Source organism: Homo sapiens, chromosome 16, assembly GCF_000001405.40.
Source record: "Homo sapiens chromosome 16, GRCh38.p14 Primary Assembly".
NCBI classification, from domain to species: domain Eukaryota; kingdom Metazoa; phylum Chordata; class Mammalia; order Primates; family Hominidae; genus Homo; species Homo sapiens.
Window position 1 is genome coordinate 4,352,001 of NC_000016.10, and position 17,799 is coordinate 4,369,799.

Sequence of the window (17,799 nt, forward strand, 5' to 3'; positions counted from 1 at the left end):
TTTCTCTCTATGGATTCACAGGTTCCGGACATTTCATAGAAATGGAATCATACAAGCCAGGCGTGGTGGCTCATGCCTGCAATCTCAAAACTTTGGGAGGCCGAGGTGGATCGCTTGAGGTCAGGAACTCAAGGCCAGGCTGGGCAACATGGTGAAACCCCATCTCTACAAATACAAAAATTAGCCGGGTGTGGTGGCAGGTGCCTGTAATCCCAGCTACTTGGGAGGCTGAGTGGTGGATCTCTTGAGCCCGGGAGGTACAGGCTGCAGTGAGCTGTGATCACTGCACTCCAGCCTGGGTGACAGAGTCAGGCCCTGCCTCAAAAAAAAAAAAAAAAAAAAAAAAGGTAAAAATGAAAAATGAAAAAAAAGAAGAAATTGAATCATACAATGTGCAGCCTTTTGTGACTGGCTTATCCTCCCTTCTTGTCTCTATTTTTCTTCCAAGACTCTGATCACCCTCTACCATACCACATAATTTACTTATTTATTTTATTTATCATTTTGAGACAGGGTCTCACCCTGTCGCCCAGGCTGGAGTCCAGTGGCACAATCCTGCCTCACTGCAACCTCCACCTCCCAGGTTCAGGCGATGCTCATGCTTTAGCCTCCTGAGTAGCTGGGATTACAGGCATGGACCACCATGCCCCATTAATTTTTGAATTTTTAGTAGAGACAGGGTTTCACCATGTTGGCCAGGCTGGTCTTGAACTACTGGTCTCAAATGATCCACCCGCCACAGCCTCCCAAAGTGCTGGGATTATAGGCATGTGACACTGTGCCCAACCGGTTTTTTATTTTTAAATTATTTTTCCTTTTTTTTTTTTTTTTGAGATGAAGTCTTGCTCTGTCACCCAGGCTGGAGAGCAGTGGCCCAATCTTGGCTCACTGCGATCTCCACCTCCTGGGTTCAAGTGATCCTCCCACTTCAGCCTCCGAAAGTGCTGGGATTACAGGTGTAAGCCACCGTGCCCAGCCAAAAAAAAATTTTTTTTTTTCAAGATAGGGTCTCACTCTGTTGCCCAGGCTGCAGTACAGTAGCATGATCATGGCTCACTGCAGTCTTGACCTTCCAGCCTTGAGTGATACTTTCACCTCAGCTTTCTGAGTAGCTGGGACCACAGGCATGTGCCAACACATGTGGTTAATGTTTGTTTTTTGTCTTTTTGAGAGCGTCTCCCTGTTGCCCAGCCTGGAGTGCAGTGGCATGACCTCGGCTCACTGCAACCTCTGCTTCCTGGGTTCAAGAGATTCTCTTGCCTCAGCCTCCTGAGTAGCTGGGACTACAGGCATGGGCCACCATGTCCGGCTAATTTTTTGTATTTTTAGTAAAGACGGGGTTTCACCGTGTTAGCCAGGATGGTCTCGTGCTCCTGACCTCGTGATCCGCCTGCCTTGGCCTCCCGAAGTGCTCGGATTACAGGCGTGAGCCACCGCGCCCAGCTAATGTTTGTATTCTTTGTAGAGACAAGGGTTCCCCTATGTTGCCCAGTCTGACCTCAAACTCCTGGGTTCAAGCAATCCTCCCACCTTGGCCTCCCTTTATTTTTATGTTTATTGTTGAGAATCTGTTTCCTTCCACTAGAATGGGAGTTCCTTTTGGGCAAGCATTTCCTCTCTCTTCTCTGCTGTTAGATGTCAAGCGCCTGGAAGAGCATCTGGCGCACAGCATTCGGCAAATGGTGGGATGAAAGTTGGGCCACCTGGAATCCTACTCTACACCGCTGCCCTTCTTCCTCTTCCTCCTGGCCTCCACATTCCTCTCTCTGTGCCCACATTGTACTTCCTTGCCTCGGAAGTGGCTCTCTCCCTGGCTGGCTCCTCATCAGCCTTCAAGTCTTGGCTCTTAGCTGAAAGTCACCTTCTCAGGCCCTGAATTCCCTGCCTCGCTGCATCCCAGTTGCTTCCTGTCCCACAGGTTTTTTTGTTTGTTTGTTTGTTTTTTGAGACTGAGTCTTGCTCTGTCACCCAGGCTGGAGTGCAATGGCAGGATCTTGACTCACTGCAACCTCTGACTCCTGGGTTCAAGCAATTCTCCTCCCTCAGCTTCCCAAGTAGCTTGGATTACAGGCGCTTACCACTACACCTGGCTACTTTTTGTATTTTTAGTAGAGACAGCGTTTTACCATGTGGGCCAGGCTGGTCTTGAACTCCTGGCCTCAAACGATCCTCCCACCTTGGCCTCCCAAAGTGCTAGTATTATAGGCATGAGCCACCGTGCCCAGCCAGTTTCTCTTCTTTACTGCTGTCTTCACACTCTATATGCTCGTGTGCAGTCTGGTTCCCCTGCATAAGGAGGCTGTAAGAAGCTGAAGGTCCTTGCAAGACCTTATCTCTCCTGTCCTTTATAGCATCCCGCCATCCAGAGCACTGCCAGGAACCTGCATGGTGAGCGAATGACTCCCAGCAGTGCGCAGGTGATTGGGCCTTGGGACCAGAGTGAGGCTGAGATAAAGGGGAGCCCAGGGCCAGACCCCTGTCACCCACATTCCTGTCCCCTTCCCTTTCCAGCCAGCCCAGAGACCACAGCAGCACAAGAGGTGGCCAGCTTAAAAAAGTTTAATTGCTGAAAACATCCAAGGCAGGTGCGGGCCAGTCCCTGCGGGGCTCACACCCCCCTTATTGGACCATCAGCTCTGTGATGCCCCCTTCTCCTGGCTACAAACCTGGGAAGTAGGGCAGCTGGTCCCAGGGCCCTGAGACTGGTGCTGCTCTAGAAGGCCTGGTGGGGGGCCAGCCCCCAAGGCCCTTGACCAGAACTGGAACAGCAGGCAAGATGGGGCAGCGTGGGGTGACCAAAGATCCTGGATGAGGCCAATCCAGGCTGGGACCAGCCCAGGTCAGCAGTGAGACCAGGGGAGACAGGGTGCCCAGGGCCTGCCCAGGGACATGCTGCTGACCCCCCGCCACCCTGCACCCCTGGCCACATGCTAGCGGGCAGCTGATGAGCAGCAGCTGACCCCAGAGACAGCAGAGGTGAAAACAGTCCCTGGGAACTGCCAGAGGCCCAGAGGATGTGGAAGTGCCCACGGGAAGGCAGGAGTGCAGGGGTGACATGTGCCGGGGCCAGAGAGGTATCTTCCAGCTTGAGGATGAGCCGTGAGGTGTGCACTAGGAAGTGGCAGCACAGGTGAGGTGGAGGTGACGGGGGCGCAGGCTAGTCCTGGGGCGAAACACCAAGAGGTGGGAGGGAGTCAGGAGGGCCTGGGAAGGGAGGAGGCATGCACCGTGGCATGTGCGAGGGACCGCGCTGCCTGCCGGGAAGTGAGGCCACTCACTACTCACCCACTCGTCCTCGTCCACGCCTTCAAAGGAGTCCTGGGGGAGTGGGTCCTCCCGGTTCCCCAGTTTTGCCACCATGGCATTCAGCAGCTGGGAGAGAGGGCAGAAGAAGGGTAGGTAAGGGAATAGGACTCCCTGTTCCCTCTCCCACTCCAAGAACAACCCTGACAAGGCTGTGAAAAGAACTTTTTTTTTTTTTTTAGACGGAGTCTTGCTCTGTCGCCCAGGCTGGATGGAGTGCAGTGGCGCGATCTCGGCTCACTGCAAGCTCTGCCTCCCGGGTTTACACCACTGTCCTGCCTCAGCCTCCCAAGGAGCTGGGATTACAGGCGCCCACCACCATGCCCGGCTAATTTTTTGTATTTTTAGTAGAGACGGGGGTTTCACCGTGTTAGCCAGGATGGTCTCGATCTCCTGACCTCGTGATCCGCCCGCCTCGGCCTCCCACGGTGCTGGGATTACAGGCGTGAGCCACAGCGCCCGGCCTTTTTGTTTGTTTGTTTGTTTTAGAGAGAGACAAGGTCTTGCTCTGTCACCAAGGCTGGAGTGCAGTGGTGCAATCATGGCTCACTGCAGCCTTGACTTTCTGGGTGCAAGCAATTCTCCTGCCTCAGCCTCCCAAGTAGCTGGGACTACAAGTGTGTAACACCACACCTGGTTAATTTTTATTTTATTTATTTATTTTTTTGAGACAGAGTTTTGTTCTTGTTGCCTAGGCTGGAGTGCAATGGCACAATCTCGGCTCACCACAACCTCTGCCTCCTGGGTTCAAGCGATTCTCCTGCCTCAGCCTCCCAAGTAGCTGGGATTACAGGTATGCGCCACCATGCCCGGCTAATTTTGTGTTTTTAGTAGAGACGAGGTTTCATCATGTTGGTCAGGCTGGTGTCGAACTCCCAACCTCAGGTGATCCGCCCTCCTCGGCCTCCCAAAGTGCTGGGATTACAGGCGTGAGCCACCATGCCTGGCCACACCTGGTTAATTTAAAAAATTTTTTTGTAGAGATGGGGTTTCACTGGTCTCAGGCTGGGTCTCAAACTCCATCACTTATATCCTCTTGCTTTGGTCTCCCAAAGTGCTGGGATTACAGGTGTGAACCACCATGCCTGGCCAAAAGAGCCACTATATTTTATTTTTATTTTTATTTTTATTTATTTATTTATTTATTGAGACGGAGTCTCGCTCTGTCACCCAGGCTGGAGTACAGTGGCACGATTTCGGCTCACTGCAATCTCCACCTCCTGGGTTCAAGTGATTCTCCTGCCTCAGTCTCCCGAGTAGCTGGGATCACAGGCGCCCGCCACCATGCCCGGCTAAATTTTTGTATTTTAGTACAGACGGGGTTTCACCGTGTTGCCCAGGGTGGTCTCAAACTCCTGAGCTCAAGCAATCCGCCTGCCTTGGGCTCCCAAAGTGTTAGGATTACAGACATGAACCACCGTGCCCGGCCTCAAAAGAGCCATTTTAATTACAGCCCTGACAAAATCGATGGGTTTCTATTGAAAAAGACACAAAGAAGAGACAGGGGGAGTAAGAGACTGAGAGGCTGCGGCATGTGGCACCAGATACAAGGGCTACTATCTCTGCACATGGCCTCAAGTGCTCAAAATATACTCCAAGGTCCCAAAAGCACTTGGGCCCAGAACTGCCGGCTTAGGCTGGGTTTGGCCTGGCCAGGGCAGGGCTCCCACTGCCCTCCCCCACTTCCCGGGCCCCATGGTCAGTGGTAGGGCTCTGGAAGGTCTCCCCACCAGGCTCTGGTGTGAAGGGGACGTGACATGTGGCTGCTGTCCCAGTCTGGGTTGGGGATGGAGAACTAAGGGGCCGTGGCCAGGTGCAGCCAGGACTCTGTCACCTCCGCACAGCTGCTCTCTCCCATGCCTACCTCCTCCTTCTTTTGCTGGTCAGACTTTTCTTCCAGGTACTGCGCTGAGGATGGGGCCCGACGAGCAGGGGCCTCTCGGGGGGCTTGGCTCACTGGGACAGAGCAAGGACACGTGTCAGAGAGTCCCCTTCGTTAGGGCTCTTTGGTGCCAAGCCCTCGGGGATTTCTTTCTTTCTTTTCTTTCTTTCTTTTTTTTTTTTTTTTTTTGAGATGGAGTTTTGCTCTTGTTGCCCAGGCTGGAGTGCAATGATGTGACCTAGGCTGACTGCAACCTCCGCCTCCTCTGGGTTCAAGCGATTCTCCTGCTTCAGCCTCTGGAGTAGTTGGGATTGCAGGCGCCCACCACGCCAGGCTAATTTTGTATTTTTAGTAGAGATGGGGTTTCACCATGTTGGCCAGGCTGGTCTCAAACCCCCGACCTCAGGTGATCCACTCGCCTCAGCCTCCTAAAGTGCTGGGATTACAGGCATGAGCCACCGCGCCTGGCCGACCTAGGGGATTTCTATGGCGCAGATCTAAGAGGTGGTATTAACAGTCAATGGAGCCTCACTGTATAAGCCCTGCCCTAGACACCACAGTGTGTGCGTGTGTGTGTGTGTTAGGGGTGGGGACCTGTGATGAAAACACAGACCACGAGCCCTGCCCTCCACTGGCTCAGAGACTGATTGACACAGCCACTCCACCCTCCCAAAGGCCAGAGGATTCTGCGTGCCAACAGGAATGGAACTTCAACCTGGGCCTTCTGTCCCTTTCTCCAACCCCCATCCCGCTTCCTCCCCACACCCAGTCCCTCGGTGCACCTGGGCTCATGTCAGGAGGCTGCAGGCTGAGAAGCCAGGGCTGCCCATTAGCGCCTTGCAGCCAGGCCTCGGCACTGAGCACAGGCTCCCAGATCACAGCCGTGTCTGGGAACACGTCATCCTGGAAGAACTCTTTCTGCAGAGGGAGAAACGGGCTGTCCTGAGACATTGACCAGGTGCCCAGGGCACACGGGCATCTGTTGGGGAGGGACAGGGCAAGACCTGGGACCCTCCCACCAGCCTGGGGCTTCCATGAGTTTCAGCATCTCAGCAGAAGGGGGTAGGTGTCCCCATGAACAATGGGTAGGGAAGTTTGGAAGCTGGGTCAGACGGGACCCAAACTCCCCTCTAGGCACCGAGAAGGCGGTGGGCATGGGAGTCCCAGGTCCCCACCCTCACCCGGACTCGGGGCAGCCGGAAGGCCACAGGCTCCAGGGAGGACTGACGCAGCCGCAGGCACCGCATCAGCTCCACTTCCCGCACGTCGCACTCCGTCTTAGGCAGGAGGACGAGGCCCTGGGGGAGCAAGGGAGTCGGAGCTGCCGCTGGGACCTAGAGCTCATGGCTGGGCACGTAGTCTCCCCAGGGTGCCGGCACCCCTCACTTAGGACCACCATGCCTAGGGCCTGTCCCTGGACAGTAACGTGTTGATCATGTTGAACAACCTGCTCTCTGGAGGGAAAGCCCTGATTTGTGGTGTTTTCCTATTTCCACAGTTTACAAACTCCCACCATGGGCAGCTTCTACGTGCCACCTCCACTCCCTGAATGTGGTGTTGGGAAGAGATGTAAATAGCACATCATCCTGCATTTCCTCCATGCACTCCAACACAGAAACATGTGACCTCAGCACAAATAATAGTAAAATTGGATAAATTAATTAGAAGTGATAAACTGAGTGTTTATTACTTTGGTTTTTAATATTATTTTTAGGTTCATATTGTAGGTTCATATAGTTTAACCTTATCTAGTGCAATTTTTTGTTTGTTTTGTAGAGATGGGGTCTTGCTATGTTGCCCAGGCTGGTCTTGAACTCCTGGGCTCAAGCAATTCTCCTGCCTCAGCCTTCCGAAGTGTTGGGATTCCAGGCCACCGTACCCGGCCTACAGTATGATTTTTAATAATGGTTGAGTATGACAATGGCTCTCAAAATTCCTAAATAATTCCAGCAGCAACTCTTCTTGCCAGTCACTGGGCACAGCCCCAGGCCCAGCCCCAGCCCAGGACTCTGACCCCCGACCCACAGGCTCCTGTACTTGCCCACATGGCCACCAGGGGGCAGGGCAGCCTTGTGGTCCCATCGGGGACGAGGCGCCAGGGTGGCCTCACCTTGTGGGGGTCAGGCGACGTGAAGCTGTTGCACTCCAGGAAGAAAGGGGACTCGGGGAGCAGCTCGTACAGGAATACACGGGTGTCGCCCTGCGGGGAAGAAGGCAGGCTGGGAACCCTCCGGCAACACTGGCCTTCCCCCCACCACCTCTCACCTGCCATCCCGCCCTCCAGCCCAGCCCACCTTGCCGGTCAGGAGCACCAGGCCAGTGTCTGGGTCGTAGCTGGGCAGCAGGGTTGAGGGAGCCACGTCCAGGCCCAACACTGCCAAGGGTCCGCCGGCCAGGGCCTCAGCTTCATATAGGAGCAGCTGGCGCTCACTTTGGCTGCAAGGGGGTTTGGGGGCTGAAGCAGGTGTTTCAGAGCTGAAGGGGCCTGGGGCAGGGAGAAGGCGCCCACGTAGCCCCTGCTCTGTTCTGGGTTGTAGGCGAGGCCTAGTGTGGCCCGGCACCGCAGCCACATCCTAACCTGCCCCTCCACCTCTGGGTTCCCCATTGACTCTTTCTCCTCCACTAATCACTCACCCATCCATCTACCCCTGACTGCCTCACCGCCCCTGCTTCCATCTCCCCCAGAGCCCCTTGTGCACCCCTGCATCTATCTCCCCCCAACCCCTCACCCACCCCTCTATCCATCTCCCCACTACCCCCAAAACATCCCTCCATCTCCCCTACCCCCCTCACCCTCCCCTGCATCCATCTCCCCCTTACCCCCAACTCATCCATCGATCTCTCCCTACCCCCTCATTCATCCATCCAGCCATCCGCCCATCTATCCCCACATTCATTCATCCACCCATCCATCCATTCACCCACCTATCCATCCACCCATCTACCCACTCATCCAATCATCTACCCACCCACCCAACCATCCAGTGAGGGGCAGGAATGGTTTCTGAAAGCCTGACAAATGTATGTGACTGTGGAGAAGGGGGACACAGGTGGCTTCTGAAGCCTGGGGATGGGGATGCCTGAGTCCTCACCTGTCAAAGCCAGACACCAGCAGACAGCGACCATCACATACCCAGACAATGCGAGCTCCGCGTCCTCCCTTGGGCCCTGGGCCTTCCTGTTGAGATACATCGCGTGACACCCAGCCAGCACCCCTGAACCAGGTCTGAGGCCACTCCCCAGCCCCTGTGTGCTCACCTGCAGGGGCTCAGGGCCACTCCGGGGCCTGTAGACCCGCACACGCCCATCCTTGCAGACAGTGGCCAGCTGCTGCCCATCAGGACTCCAGGCCAGGCTGAAGATCTGGGGGCAGGAAGGGATATGAGAGACAGCCTTGCTTCACTGCTGGCCCCACCTCTCCCCACTGCTCCTGCCCCTCCTCACTGCTGGCGCCGCCCCTCCTCACTGCTGTTCCCGCCTCTCCTCACTGCTGGTCTTGCCTCTCCTCACTGCTGGCCCCCCTCTCCTCACTGCTGGCCCCCCTTCTCCTCAATGCTAGCCCGGCCCCTCCTCACCGCTGGCCCTGCCCCTCCTCACCACTGGCCCCCCTCTCCTCACTGCTGGCCCCACCCCTCCTCGCTGCTGGTCCTGCCTCTCCTCACTGCTGGCCCCGCCACTCCTCACTGCTGGCCCCACCTCTCCACACTGCTGGCCCCGCCTCTCCACACTGCTGGCCCCACCTCTGCAGCCGTCCTACCTGGTCTTGGTGGCCCTGCAGCTTCAGCCGATCAGCTCCAGCCTGAAGGTCCCAGATGCGAACAGTGAGGTCATAGGAGGACGAGGCCAGCACATTGGCTGCCAGTGGGTGGAAGCGCAGGGAGCAGATCTTCTCCGTGTGGCCTGGAGGAAGGCAGGGGTGATCAGGAGCCCTTGGGAGACACTGGCCACCCCAGCCCCATTCCTGAGCCTGCCTGACCTGTGAGCACAGTCTCTGGCGTGGTGAGCACCTCTTCCAGGCCCTCTGCGGGTACCCGCCACAGTCGGATCCTGGCGTCCTCACCAGCTGCAGAGGACAGACAGGGGCTCATCATTGCTGAGCCCAAGACCTCTGGGCTCCCCAGCCCCTATCCGGGACCCAGGACCCTCCCTCAAGCCCAGGCACCCAGCCTCCTTACCCACAGCGAGGCGATGGGGGTCAAAGGGGTCCCAGGCCAGATCAGTCACAGCTGCCCCATTCTGCAGCGTGGGCAGTGCCGTGTCGGGCAGGCGGCCAGGCTTCCGTAGCTGTGGGAGGTGCCCCCACCCCGAGGCCCATCAGTACCAGGCAGAAAAGCCAGTCCCCAGGGGCTGCGGGCAAGCAGCATGTCTGGGAGCCCACCCTCTGCAGCAGAGGCTCCCACCGCTGGGTGACCCAAGCTCTCTGCCCTGACCACCTTGCGCTCTGAGCCCCAAGTGCCAACCACAAGGCCCCAGAGAGTGAGGGGGCAGCAGCGTGAACTGGCGGGAAAAGCTCCGGCTTAGGGCTCAGGTGGCCGGGCTTCGGATCCCAGCTCCACCACTTACACAGCTGTGTGACCCGGGCAGGTCACTAAACCTCTCTGTGCCTCTTCTCCCTCATCTGTAAAATGGGGATAAAAGTGGCAGGCCCCATGGCAGGTGGCTGGGAGGATCACAGGACAGGCGGGCAGGAGCCTGACACAAGGTTTGTGCTCCCTGTGTTGTGTGGGTAGCTAAGGCCCTCCGCGTCTTTGCCACAGGCAGGGAACTGAGGGGCAGCCCTGGTGGGGTGGGGCCCTCACCTCAAGCACAGCCACCTGTCCCCCGCTGCTGAGCAGCGGCACGGCCACACGCAGCTTGTTGGCACAGAAGCCGTCACTCTCACCAGGTGTGGTGAGGTTGAGCCCCTTGAGGTTGGTGATGTGGCTGTCTCGGTGCAGGACAGTGCCCTGAGCATGGCGGAACTTGGAACTGGGGCCTGGCAGGTGGCAGGGACATGGAACCACGTGTGAGGATGCCGTCCCCGCCCGCCCTGCACTCTTTGAGTCCCGGCTGCCCACTCCCCTCACCCCAGGTGGATGTACAGCATGGACCTAGGCCCAGGCCTTTGCTAATCCAGTGGATGCAACTCGCCCAGGAATAATGTCTGGAATGATATACCCTGTTCCATGGTGGCTCGGGGAATCTTGGTGGAGCCCAGGGCTTTGGCTGCTCAGAAGCTGGTGGCCCCAGCCGCCCTCCTATTTTGCAGGTGAGACTCAGCCACCACACCCCAGCCCCCAGGACAAATGACCCTGCCAGTGAGTCTGGGTGAGGGGGGTGCCCTGCATGAGGCCTGTGCTCAGCAGTAGGGTACACAGGAGGATGACGGGGAGTGGGGCAGACAGGGCTCCTGCGGTAGGGGTGAGCTCCCCGTCCTGCCTCCTTACCCAGCAGGCTCTGCAGCGACCTCAAACTGGGGCTGGTCCCGATGCCACTGGTGCTGGAGAGTGAGGGCCCCAGGCTGGAGGGCGTGGAGGGCGAGGTCAGCGAACTGGGAGGGGAAGAGAAACCCTCCTGGGGAGGGGCATGGGGTCAGCCAGCCTGCTCCTAGGTGTACTGGCCAAAAGGAGGGGGTGCCAGCGGACTCCAGGGTCACCACTCTGGGCCCCCTGCGGACTGGAGGAGCCCCCACTGTGGGCATGCGACAGGAGCGGCGGGGGGCACGGGCATAAACGCAGACACACAGGGAAGCAGCCGAGCTTCAGACCGCGGGGACAGCAAGTGGCAGCTGCTGGCTCCCAGCCCTGCAGGAGGGTGTGCCCAGTGGGTTAGATCTGCCAGTATTTTAAGAGAAGCCAGAAATCTAGATCTGTATGAAAATTCTTGCTTTTTAAGTGTTTGCCCAATTTAGAAAGCACTGTGCAAGTTCCTTCTTTATGCTCCACGTGTTTCTCTGTCTCTGTTACACTTGACAAAGAAGGTTGGGGCCAGGCGTGGTGGCTCAAGGCTGTAATCCCAGCAGTTTGGGAGGCCGAGGAGGGCAGATCACGAGGTCAGGAGTTCAAGGCCAGCATGGCCAACATGGTGAAGCCTGACTCTACTAAAAAAAATATAAAAATTGGCCAGGCGCGGTGGCTCACGCCTGTAATCCCAGCACTTTGGGAGGCCCAGGCGGGTGGATCATGAGGTTAGGAGTTCAAGACCAGCCTGGCCAACATGGTGAAAACCCGTCTCTACTAAAGATACTAAAGATACCAATTAGCCAGGCGTGGTGGTGCGCGCCTGTAATCCCAGCACTTTGGGAGGCCCAGGCAGGTGGATCATGAGGTTAGGAGTTTAAGACCAGCCTGGCCAACATGGTGAAAACCCATCTCTACTAAAGATACTAAAGATACAAATTAGCCAGGCGTGGTGGCGCACGCCTGTAATCCCAGCTACTCAGGAGGCTCAGGCAGGAGAATTGCTTGAAACTGGGAGGCGGAGGTTGCAGTGAGCCGAGATCGCACCATTGCACTCCAGCCTAGACGACAGGGCGAGACTCATCTCAAAAACAAAAACAAAAACAAAAATTAGGCCAGGTGCAGTGGCTCATGATTGTAATCCCAGCACTTTGGGAGGCCGAGGCGGGTGGATCACCTGAGGTCAGGAGTTCGAGACCAGCCTGACCAACATGGTGAAACCCCATGTCTACTAAAAATACAAAAATTAGCCAGGCATGGTGGCGGGTGCCTGTAATCTCACCTACTCGGGAGGCTGAGGCAGGAGAATCACTTGAACCCAAGAGGCGGAGATTGCAGTGAGCCGAGATCACACCATTGTACTCTAGCCTGGGCAATAAGAGCGAAACTCTGTCTCAAAAAATAAATTAAAATATAGTCGGCCATGGTGGCACATGCCTGTAATCCCAGCTACTCGGGAGGCTGAGGCAGGAGAATCGCTTGAACCTAGGAAGAGGAGGTTGCAGTGAGCCGAGGTTGCGCCACTGCACTCTAGCTTGGGTGACAGAGTGAGACACTGTCTCAAAAAAAAAAAAAGGCCGTTCAGCCGGTGAACACTCAGGGCAGCCACTGCAGTGTCGCTGAGGGAGGATGGGGGCGGCCCTGGTACTTACGCTTGCGTCTGCATCACCCACGGGTGTCTCCATCACCGCAGGCTGGGCTGTGTCAGGGAGGGGCTCCGCAGGGGGCACCAGACAGGAAGTGAAGCTCGGGTGGGGCCGGCAGGCGGGGTTGAGGCTGACCTTCTGCACCTGCATGGAGGCCGGCAGTGGGGAGATGGGGGCATGGGCTGCCCGGTCAGGAGGGCCCCCATGGGAGGGTCAACTGGGTAGGGATGGGGGGCACCCAGCAGGCCAGACTGAGTTGGCACACAGCCACACGGGGCTACCAGGGACTCGGGGAGGCTGGGAGAGGTGAGCCAGCCCTGGTCCTACCTGCTGGTTGTCCCCAGCCCACCAGCTATGGGGGTCGGTGGCAGGCACACAGCCGGCAGTGTCCGGGAACAGGTCCTCGTGGAACTCCACAGCCTGGCCGCAGACAAGCAGGCAGCTAGTGAGGCCCAGGCCCCCCGACTCCCCAGCCCCCGCAGTCCCTCGCCCAAGTCCCCCTCACCTTGCGGGGCACATGGTAGCCGATGGGCACGATGGCTGTGTCGCTCAGCTGTAGGACGCGGAGTACCTCGCAGCTCATGACGGCCAGCGCCTGCCGGGGCACAAGGGCAGCCCCACGCAGCACGCTCTCCAGGACACACTGGGTCACTGTTGAGGACACCATAGGGGAACAGGCAGGATGGGCAGGGGAGGGGAGGGTAGGGGATGGGGGCGAGGAAGCAAGGCTTACCTGGGCTCAGCGCCGGCTGCTGCGGGACCACCTCGTAACAGTACAGCTGCCTCTCGCCCTGAAATGAGTCTGAACTGAGCCCCGTTTGCTGACTGAACCCCTGGGGAGGGCCCAGGACTGGCATCAGCTCCCCCACAGGTCCCCAAGGACCTGAGCCACAGAACCACAGTGGCTGGAGATGGGGCTCCCCAACATGCTGGGCGCTGAGCTGAGCCCTAGGCTGACTACCTCACTTGCTCAGCCTCGTTGCACATGGGGTGAGCACCGGGGGTGTACGTCAGTATTTATGGAGTGCTGACTGTGTGCTGACACTGCTCTATTCTCGGCCTTGTTCTCAGGAAGGCCAGTGTTCTAGGAGAGCTACAGTCACCTTGGCTGCACAGGGGAAGACACAGAGGCCCTGTTCGAGTTCCTCCTCTCTCTTGGGGAAGGCCAGGGGCTGGACTCCAGGCTGTGGATGTGGGTGGGAGCCCCAGCTTCTCACTCACCTTTCCTGCCAGGACCAGGAGCCCAGAGTCAGGGTCCAGCAGAGGCACGAGACACCTGGGGAAGAGAGGGCAAGATGGCGGGTCAGGGCAGTGGGAGGGCTGCCAGACTCGTAACCCCATGTAGGAGCCCAGGACAGGCACCACAGTGACTGGGAGCCGCTTGGCCATCCAGCCATGTTCAGCCTGGTCCCCAGGAACCCCCTCCTCTTCCTGAGCTTCCCACATGCCCAACACACGCCCACACCCCAGCTGCTCCTCCCCAGGGCCTCCACCTGCACACCTGCGTCACTCCAGGACTGGAGTGGGCACAGGGGAACTCGGGCCCGATCTCAGCCACAGCTCTTCCTCCAAGAAGACCCCACATGCATTCTGTGCCCCTCCCACCTTCGACAGCCTAGACATCAGGCCAGCATTGCCAGGGAAGGTGGAGAGGTGAGGCCGGAGGCGAGGAGCCTCCCGTCCCCACTCGGCACTGCCTGTGGACAGGCAGCATCCGGGAGCAGTGCAGGCAGCCCTGCCGTTCCGAATCTGCACTAAGGTTTGGGGCCCTCTACTCAGTTACCCCACGTTTCCTGTGCCTCAGTGATATCTTGGAAGCTCAGAGACCCCCCCATGCTGAGTTAAAGTTCCTGTGTCCAAATCTGAGCCACGTGCCCGGGAGAAGGGGCTCCTCCGGCCGCTGGGCTTCCCTGCACACCCCAGGCCTGCTGCCCCGGCCGAGCCTGCCAGCAGCATGCTCCCAGGCCTTCTCTGGTCTCGAGGCAGGAGCAGGGCGGGGTGGCAGCTGGGAATAGAGTGGGCGGGCCGGAAGCCCCCAGAGCCCCTGCCACTCTATGTCCAGCTCAGCCTTGGCCAACTGCCTGTCACTGGCCGGGCTTTATGCCTCCCTCCCGGGGCCCCTCAGAGACCCCTGCACAGCCCCTCAGCCCTGTGAGAGCTGCCTTCCCACTCCAGGGCCTTTTGAGGGGAATGGGGACCTGGAAGGACTCTGACAGATGCCCAGATGCCCAGTTGCCTTCCTGTGTTTCTTGCTCCTGATCTTTGCTTTTTTTTTTTTTTTTTTTTTTAAGAGACACGGTCTCCCTCTGTCACCCAGGCTGGAGTGCAGTGGCACAATCATTGCTCACTGCAGCCTCAACCTCCTGGGCTCAAGCAATCTTCCCACTCAGCCTCCAGAGTAGCTGGGACTACAGGTGTGCACCACCATGGCTGGCTATTTTTACTTCTATTTTTGTAGAAACAAGGTCTCACTATGCTTCCGAGGCCGGTCTCAAACTCCTGGCCTCAAGTGATACTCCCACCTTAGCCTCCCAAAGTGCTAGGATTATAGGCATGAGCCACTGCACTTGGTCTTGGTTTCTTGTTTCTGGGACCTGCAGGCCTGGACCCTCCCAACCCAGACACTGACACCCTTAAACAGGACCCCGTCCCCACTGTGTTGCCAGGGTCAGAGGTCACCCAGCTGTGGCAGCTGCCTCTATCCCTCACTGCGGTGACAAAGGGCCCAGCCGCCCTCCACTGTCCACCCATCCCCTCCTGCCAGCCGACCACTAAGCAGTCCTGCCCACCTCCCCTCCCCACACTTCCAGGAGCCACAGAGTGGCTGGGAAGCTGGGTGGGGCCCTGGGTGTCTCCATGACTTCCTGGAGTGCCTTGGGCTGGTCACCTGTGAGTAACACAGGCCCCTACTTACTGAGGGCCCAGCAGGGTGAGCCGGGCTCAGCAATGCCCTTTGCATCCCGGCCTGACCACTGCTTGTAGAGGTGGAGGCGGAGGCGGAGGGTAGGGGACCAAGGTGGTGCGTGACCTGGAGTGCCCTCCACACTGACACTGGCTCCACTGGGGCTGGAAGCAAGTCCCTTCAGCAGCTTTGACAGGGCTTTCACTCATTCATTCGTTCACAATCATTCACTCCTTTGATGAGCTGGTCTGTGCCTGGTCCTCGGCTCGACCTGCATGTAGGTATGCCCAGAGATGAGTGCAACAGACCCTGCCTCTGTCCTCAAGGTGCTCACAGCCTAGCACAAGAGGCAGACAGACACAATCCCATAGACAAACATGTGAAGGGAAGGTTCACCGAGGACACACAGTGACAGAGCAGGGGGACTGGGCCTCAGCAGTGGGGGAAGGGGTGATCCCTGCGATCCCAAGGTCATGCAGAAATCAAACACCTCACAGGAAGAGAGTTTCAGAGAGAACACAACCTGTGCAAAGGTCCTGTGGCAGGTGGGTTCATGGCCTGTTTGAGGAACAAGATGGACAATGTGCCTGACAGCCTGGACAGTGTGGGTGAGGGCTGAGGCTCAGGATGGGCAGGTGGAGGCTAGACGGGAAGGGGCCTGGTGCATGTGGGGAGGGGGAGTTCTGCCTCCAGTGGACGAGCAATGAAAAGGTGACGGTGCGTTTCAAGCAAAAGAGGCTAGGCCAGGCCTAGTGACTCATGTCTGTGATCCCAGCCAGCACTTTGGGAGGCTGAGGTGGGAGAATCACTTGAGCCCAGTAGGTCAACACTGTGACCAGCCTGGGCAACATCATGAGACCATGGCTCTTCAAAAAATTAAAAATTAAAAAATTAGCGAGGTATGCTGGCTCACGCCTGTAATCCCAGCACTTTGGGAGGCCGAGGTGGGTGGATCACTGGAGGTCAGCAGTTTGAGACCAGCCAGGCCAACATGATGAAACCCTGTCTCTACTAAAAATACAAAAATTGGCCAAGTGTGGTGGTGTGCATCTGTAATCCCAGCTAATTGGGAGGCTGAGGCAGGAGAACCACTTGAACCCGGCAGGTGGAGTTTGCAGTGAGCCGAGATGGCACCAATGCATTCCAGCCTGGGTGACAGAGTGAGACTCCATCTCAAAAAATAAAATTAAAAATTAGCCTGCTGTGGTAGTGCACACCTGTGGTCCAGCTACTCGGCTGGCTGAGGCAGGAGGGTCACTTGAGCCCAGGAGTTTGAGGCTGCAGTGAGTCAAGATCGCATCGCCAGCTGGGCATGGTGGCTCACATCTGTAATCCCAGCACTTTGGGAGGCCGATCACTTTGGGTCAGGAGTTTGAGACCAGCCTGGCCAACATGGTGAAAACTCGTCTCTACTAAAAATGCAAAAATGAGCTGAGCATGGTGGCGTGCACCTGGAATCCCAGCTACTCAGGAGGCTGAGGCAGGAGAATCACTTGAACCCGGGAGGCGGAGGTTGCAGTGGGCCAAGATTGCACCACTGCATTCCAGCCTTGGCAACAGAGTGAGACTCCATCTCAAAAAAAAAAAAAAAAAAAATCACATCAGCCTGGGTAACACAGCAAGACCCTATCTCAAAAAAATAAAAATAGAAAGAGGATAGGACCAGACTGGCACAGAGTAGGGATCACACTGGCTGCTGGGGGCACAGGCTGGGAGGAGTGGAAACAGGTGCCAGGACAGAAGCTGAGGGCAAGTAGGATAGGCAGGTCTCCTGTGGCCCCTCTGCTGCCCTTATGAGAGGTGGGAAACAGGCCTGGGGCCACCTCATGGCATCAGAGGCTCACCTGTGCGCTGAGCCAACTGCCTGAGGAGGCCTGGTGCTCAGCCTCCCTCACCCCCGTTCCATCGTCCCAGCCAGCCAGCCACTGACTCAGGAGCTGAGGCCGAGTGGGCAGGAAGTCAGGGAGGGCAGGGCTGGCTCCTCTGACAGGTCAGGCCAGTCTTCCTTGCCTCAGGCAGAGCCATCTGGACAACTCTGCCAGGCAGGGGCATCCTGTCTGCCGTGGCACGGGCCAAGAAATGGGGTCATGGCACCCAGCCCCAAAGGTTGGCCAAGTGTTGGCATGGGCCTGACCCCAGGCTGTGTGAAGAGAGCCAAGCTGGGTCTGGGTCTGGAACATGGTACATGAGCCCCAGCCAGGCAGAGGGCCAGAGGTGGTAAGAGGTATTGCCGGCACCTCTCCTGCTGGAATCTGGGCCTGCCACTGGGAAGGGCTCTGACCCTGACCCAGGTCCAGGGGTCTGTCCCAGGCATAAAGTTATAGAAGGTCTAAAGCCCAGATCTGCCCCCGCCCCTCAGCCAGGTCCCAGGAGCTAGAAGACAACCTCAGTACCAACTGGGAGGCACGAGCAGTTTCAGCCTCCGGATAAGCCCCGCCAGCTCTCCCAGGACTCCTGTGATTAGCACCGAGGGGAAGCACCAAGGGTGTGCTTGCTACAAGGAGCAGCTGCAAGGCTCCTCCTCTGTCCTCCCCTCCAGCCCATCCCTCCCGCTCAGGCCCCTTCCCACCAACCCAGACATTCTGCCATTGCGCCAGTTCAAAGCAGGCTGGGTCCCTTGGATCTGTC

At 57.6% G+C, this 17,799-nt stretch overlaps 2 protein-coding genes across 5 annotated transcripts in view, besides 2 other annotated features; both read right to left on the reverse strand.

The window, feature by feature from the left end:
• Positions 1-17,799, reverse strand: part of CORO7-PAM16 (CORO7-PAM16 readthrough) — a 76,346-nt gene that overhangs the window by 11,750 nt on the left and 46,797 nt on the right. Inside the window, exons 10-27 of the mRNA NM_001201479.2 lie at positions 13,491-13,545; positions 13,003-13,060; positions 12,775-12,920; positions 12,597-12,689; positions 12,276-12,413; positions 10,612-10,738; positions 9,985-10,160; positions 9,361-9,469; positions 9,162-9,248; positions 8,943-9,085; positions 8,444-8,548; positions 8,278-8,363; positions 7,480-7,621; positions 7,296-7,385; positions 6,367-6,483; positions 5,968-6,103; positions 5,168-5,259; positions 3,286-3,372 (exon numbers count right to left, since the gene is read on the reverse strand). Of these exons, the coding sequence (NP_001188408.1) occupies positions 3,286-3,372; positions 5,168-5,259; positions 5,968-6,103; positions 6,367-6,483; positions 7,296-7,385; positions 7,480-7,621; positions 8,278-8,363; positions 8,444-8,548; positions 8,943-9,085; positions 9,162-9,248; positions 9,361-9,469; positions 9,985-10,160; positions 10,612-10,738; positions 12,276-12,413; positions 12,597-12,689; positions 12,775-12,920; positions 13,003-13,060; positions 13,491-13,545 (1,987 nt within the window). The remainder of the gene's footprint in view (positions 1-3,285; positions 3,373-5,167; positions 5,260-5,967; positions 6,104-6,366; positions 6,484-7,295; positions 7,386-7,479; positions 7,622-8,277; positions 8,364-8,443; positions 8,549-8,942; positions 9,086-9,161; positions 9,249-9,360; positions 9,470-9,984; positions 10,161-10,611; positions 10,739-12,275; positions 12,414-12,596; positions 12,690-12,774; positions 12,921-13,002; positions 13,061-13,490; positions 13,546-17,799) is intronic.
• The window catches only part of CORO7 (coronin 7), a 62,055-nt gene continuing 46,797 nt past the window's right edge, over positions 2,542-17,799 (reverse strand). For all 4 annotated transcript variants that reach the window (NM_001201473.2, NM_001201472.2, NM_024535.5 and 1 more), the window contains 19 exons: positions 13,491-13,545; positions 13,003-13,060; positions 12,775-12,920; positions 12,597-12,689; positions 12,276-12,413; positions 10,612-10,738; positions 9,985-10,160; positions 9,361-9,469; positions 9,162-9,248; positions 8,943-9,085; positions 8,444-8,548; positions 8,278-8,363; positions 7,480-7,621; positions 7,296-7,385; positions 6,367-6,483; positions 5,968-6,103; positions 5,168-5,259; positions 3,286-3,372; positions 2,542-3,163 (listed from right to left, as the gene is read on the reverse strand). In NM_001201473.2, coding sequence (NP_001188402.1) covers positions 3,158-3,163; positions 3,286-3,372; positions 5,168-5,259; positions 5,968-6,103; positions 6,367-6,483; positions 7,296-7,385; positions 7,480-7,621; positions 8,278-8,363; positions 8,444-8,548; positions 8,943-9,085; positions 9,162-9,248; positions 9,361-9,469; positions 9,985-10,160; positions 10,612-10,738; positions 12,276-12,413; positions 12,597-12,689; positions 12,775-12,920; positions 13,003-13,060; positions 13,491-13,545 — 1,993 coding nt within the window. In that variant the 3' untranslated portion in view covers positions 2,542-3,157. The remainder of the gene's footprint in view (positions 3,164-3,285; positions 3,373-5,167; positions 5,260-5,967; positions 6,104-6,366; positions 6,484-7,295; positions 7,386-7,479; positions 7,622-8,277; positions 8,364-8,443; positions 8,549-8,942; positions 9,086-9,161; positions 9,249-9,360; positions 9,470-9,984; positions 10,161-10,611; positions 10,739-12,275; positions 12,414-12,596; positions 12,690-12,774; positions 12,921-13,002; positions 13,061-13,490; positions 13,546-17,799) is intronic.
• Positions 13,327-13,827: an enhancer, noted in NCBI's record as "H3K4me1 hESC enhancer chr16:4415328-4415828 (GRCh37/hg19 assembly coordinates)". NCBI's record gives its function as "activates a minimal SCP1, AML or CMV promoter by ChIP-STARR-seq in primed H9 embryonic stem cells {active_cell/tissue: H9 hESC(primed)}" and the evidence as "EXISTENCE:reporter gene assay evidence [ECO:0000049][PMID:30033119]".
• Positions 17,154-17,653: an enhancer, noted in NCBI's record as "H3K4me1 hESC enhancer chr16:4419155-4419654 (GRCh37/hg19 assembly coordinates)". NCBI's record gives its function as "activates a minimal SCP1, AML or CMV promoter by ChIP-STARR-seq in naive H9 embryonic stem cells {active_cell/tissue: H9 hESC(naive)}" and the evidence as "EXISTENCE:reporter gene assay evidence [ECO:0000049][PMID:30033119]".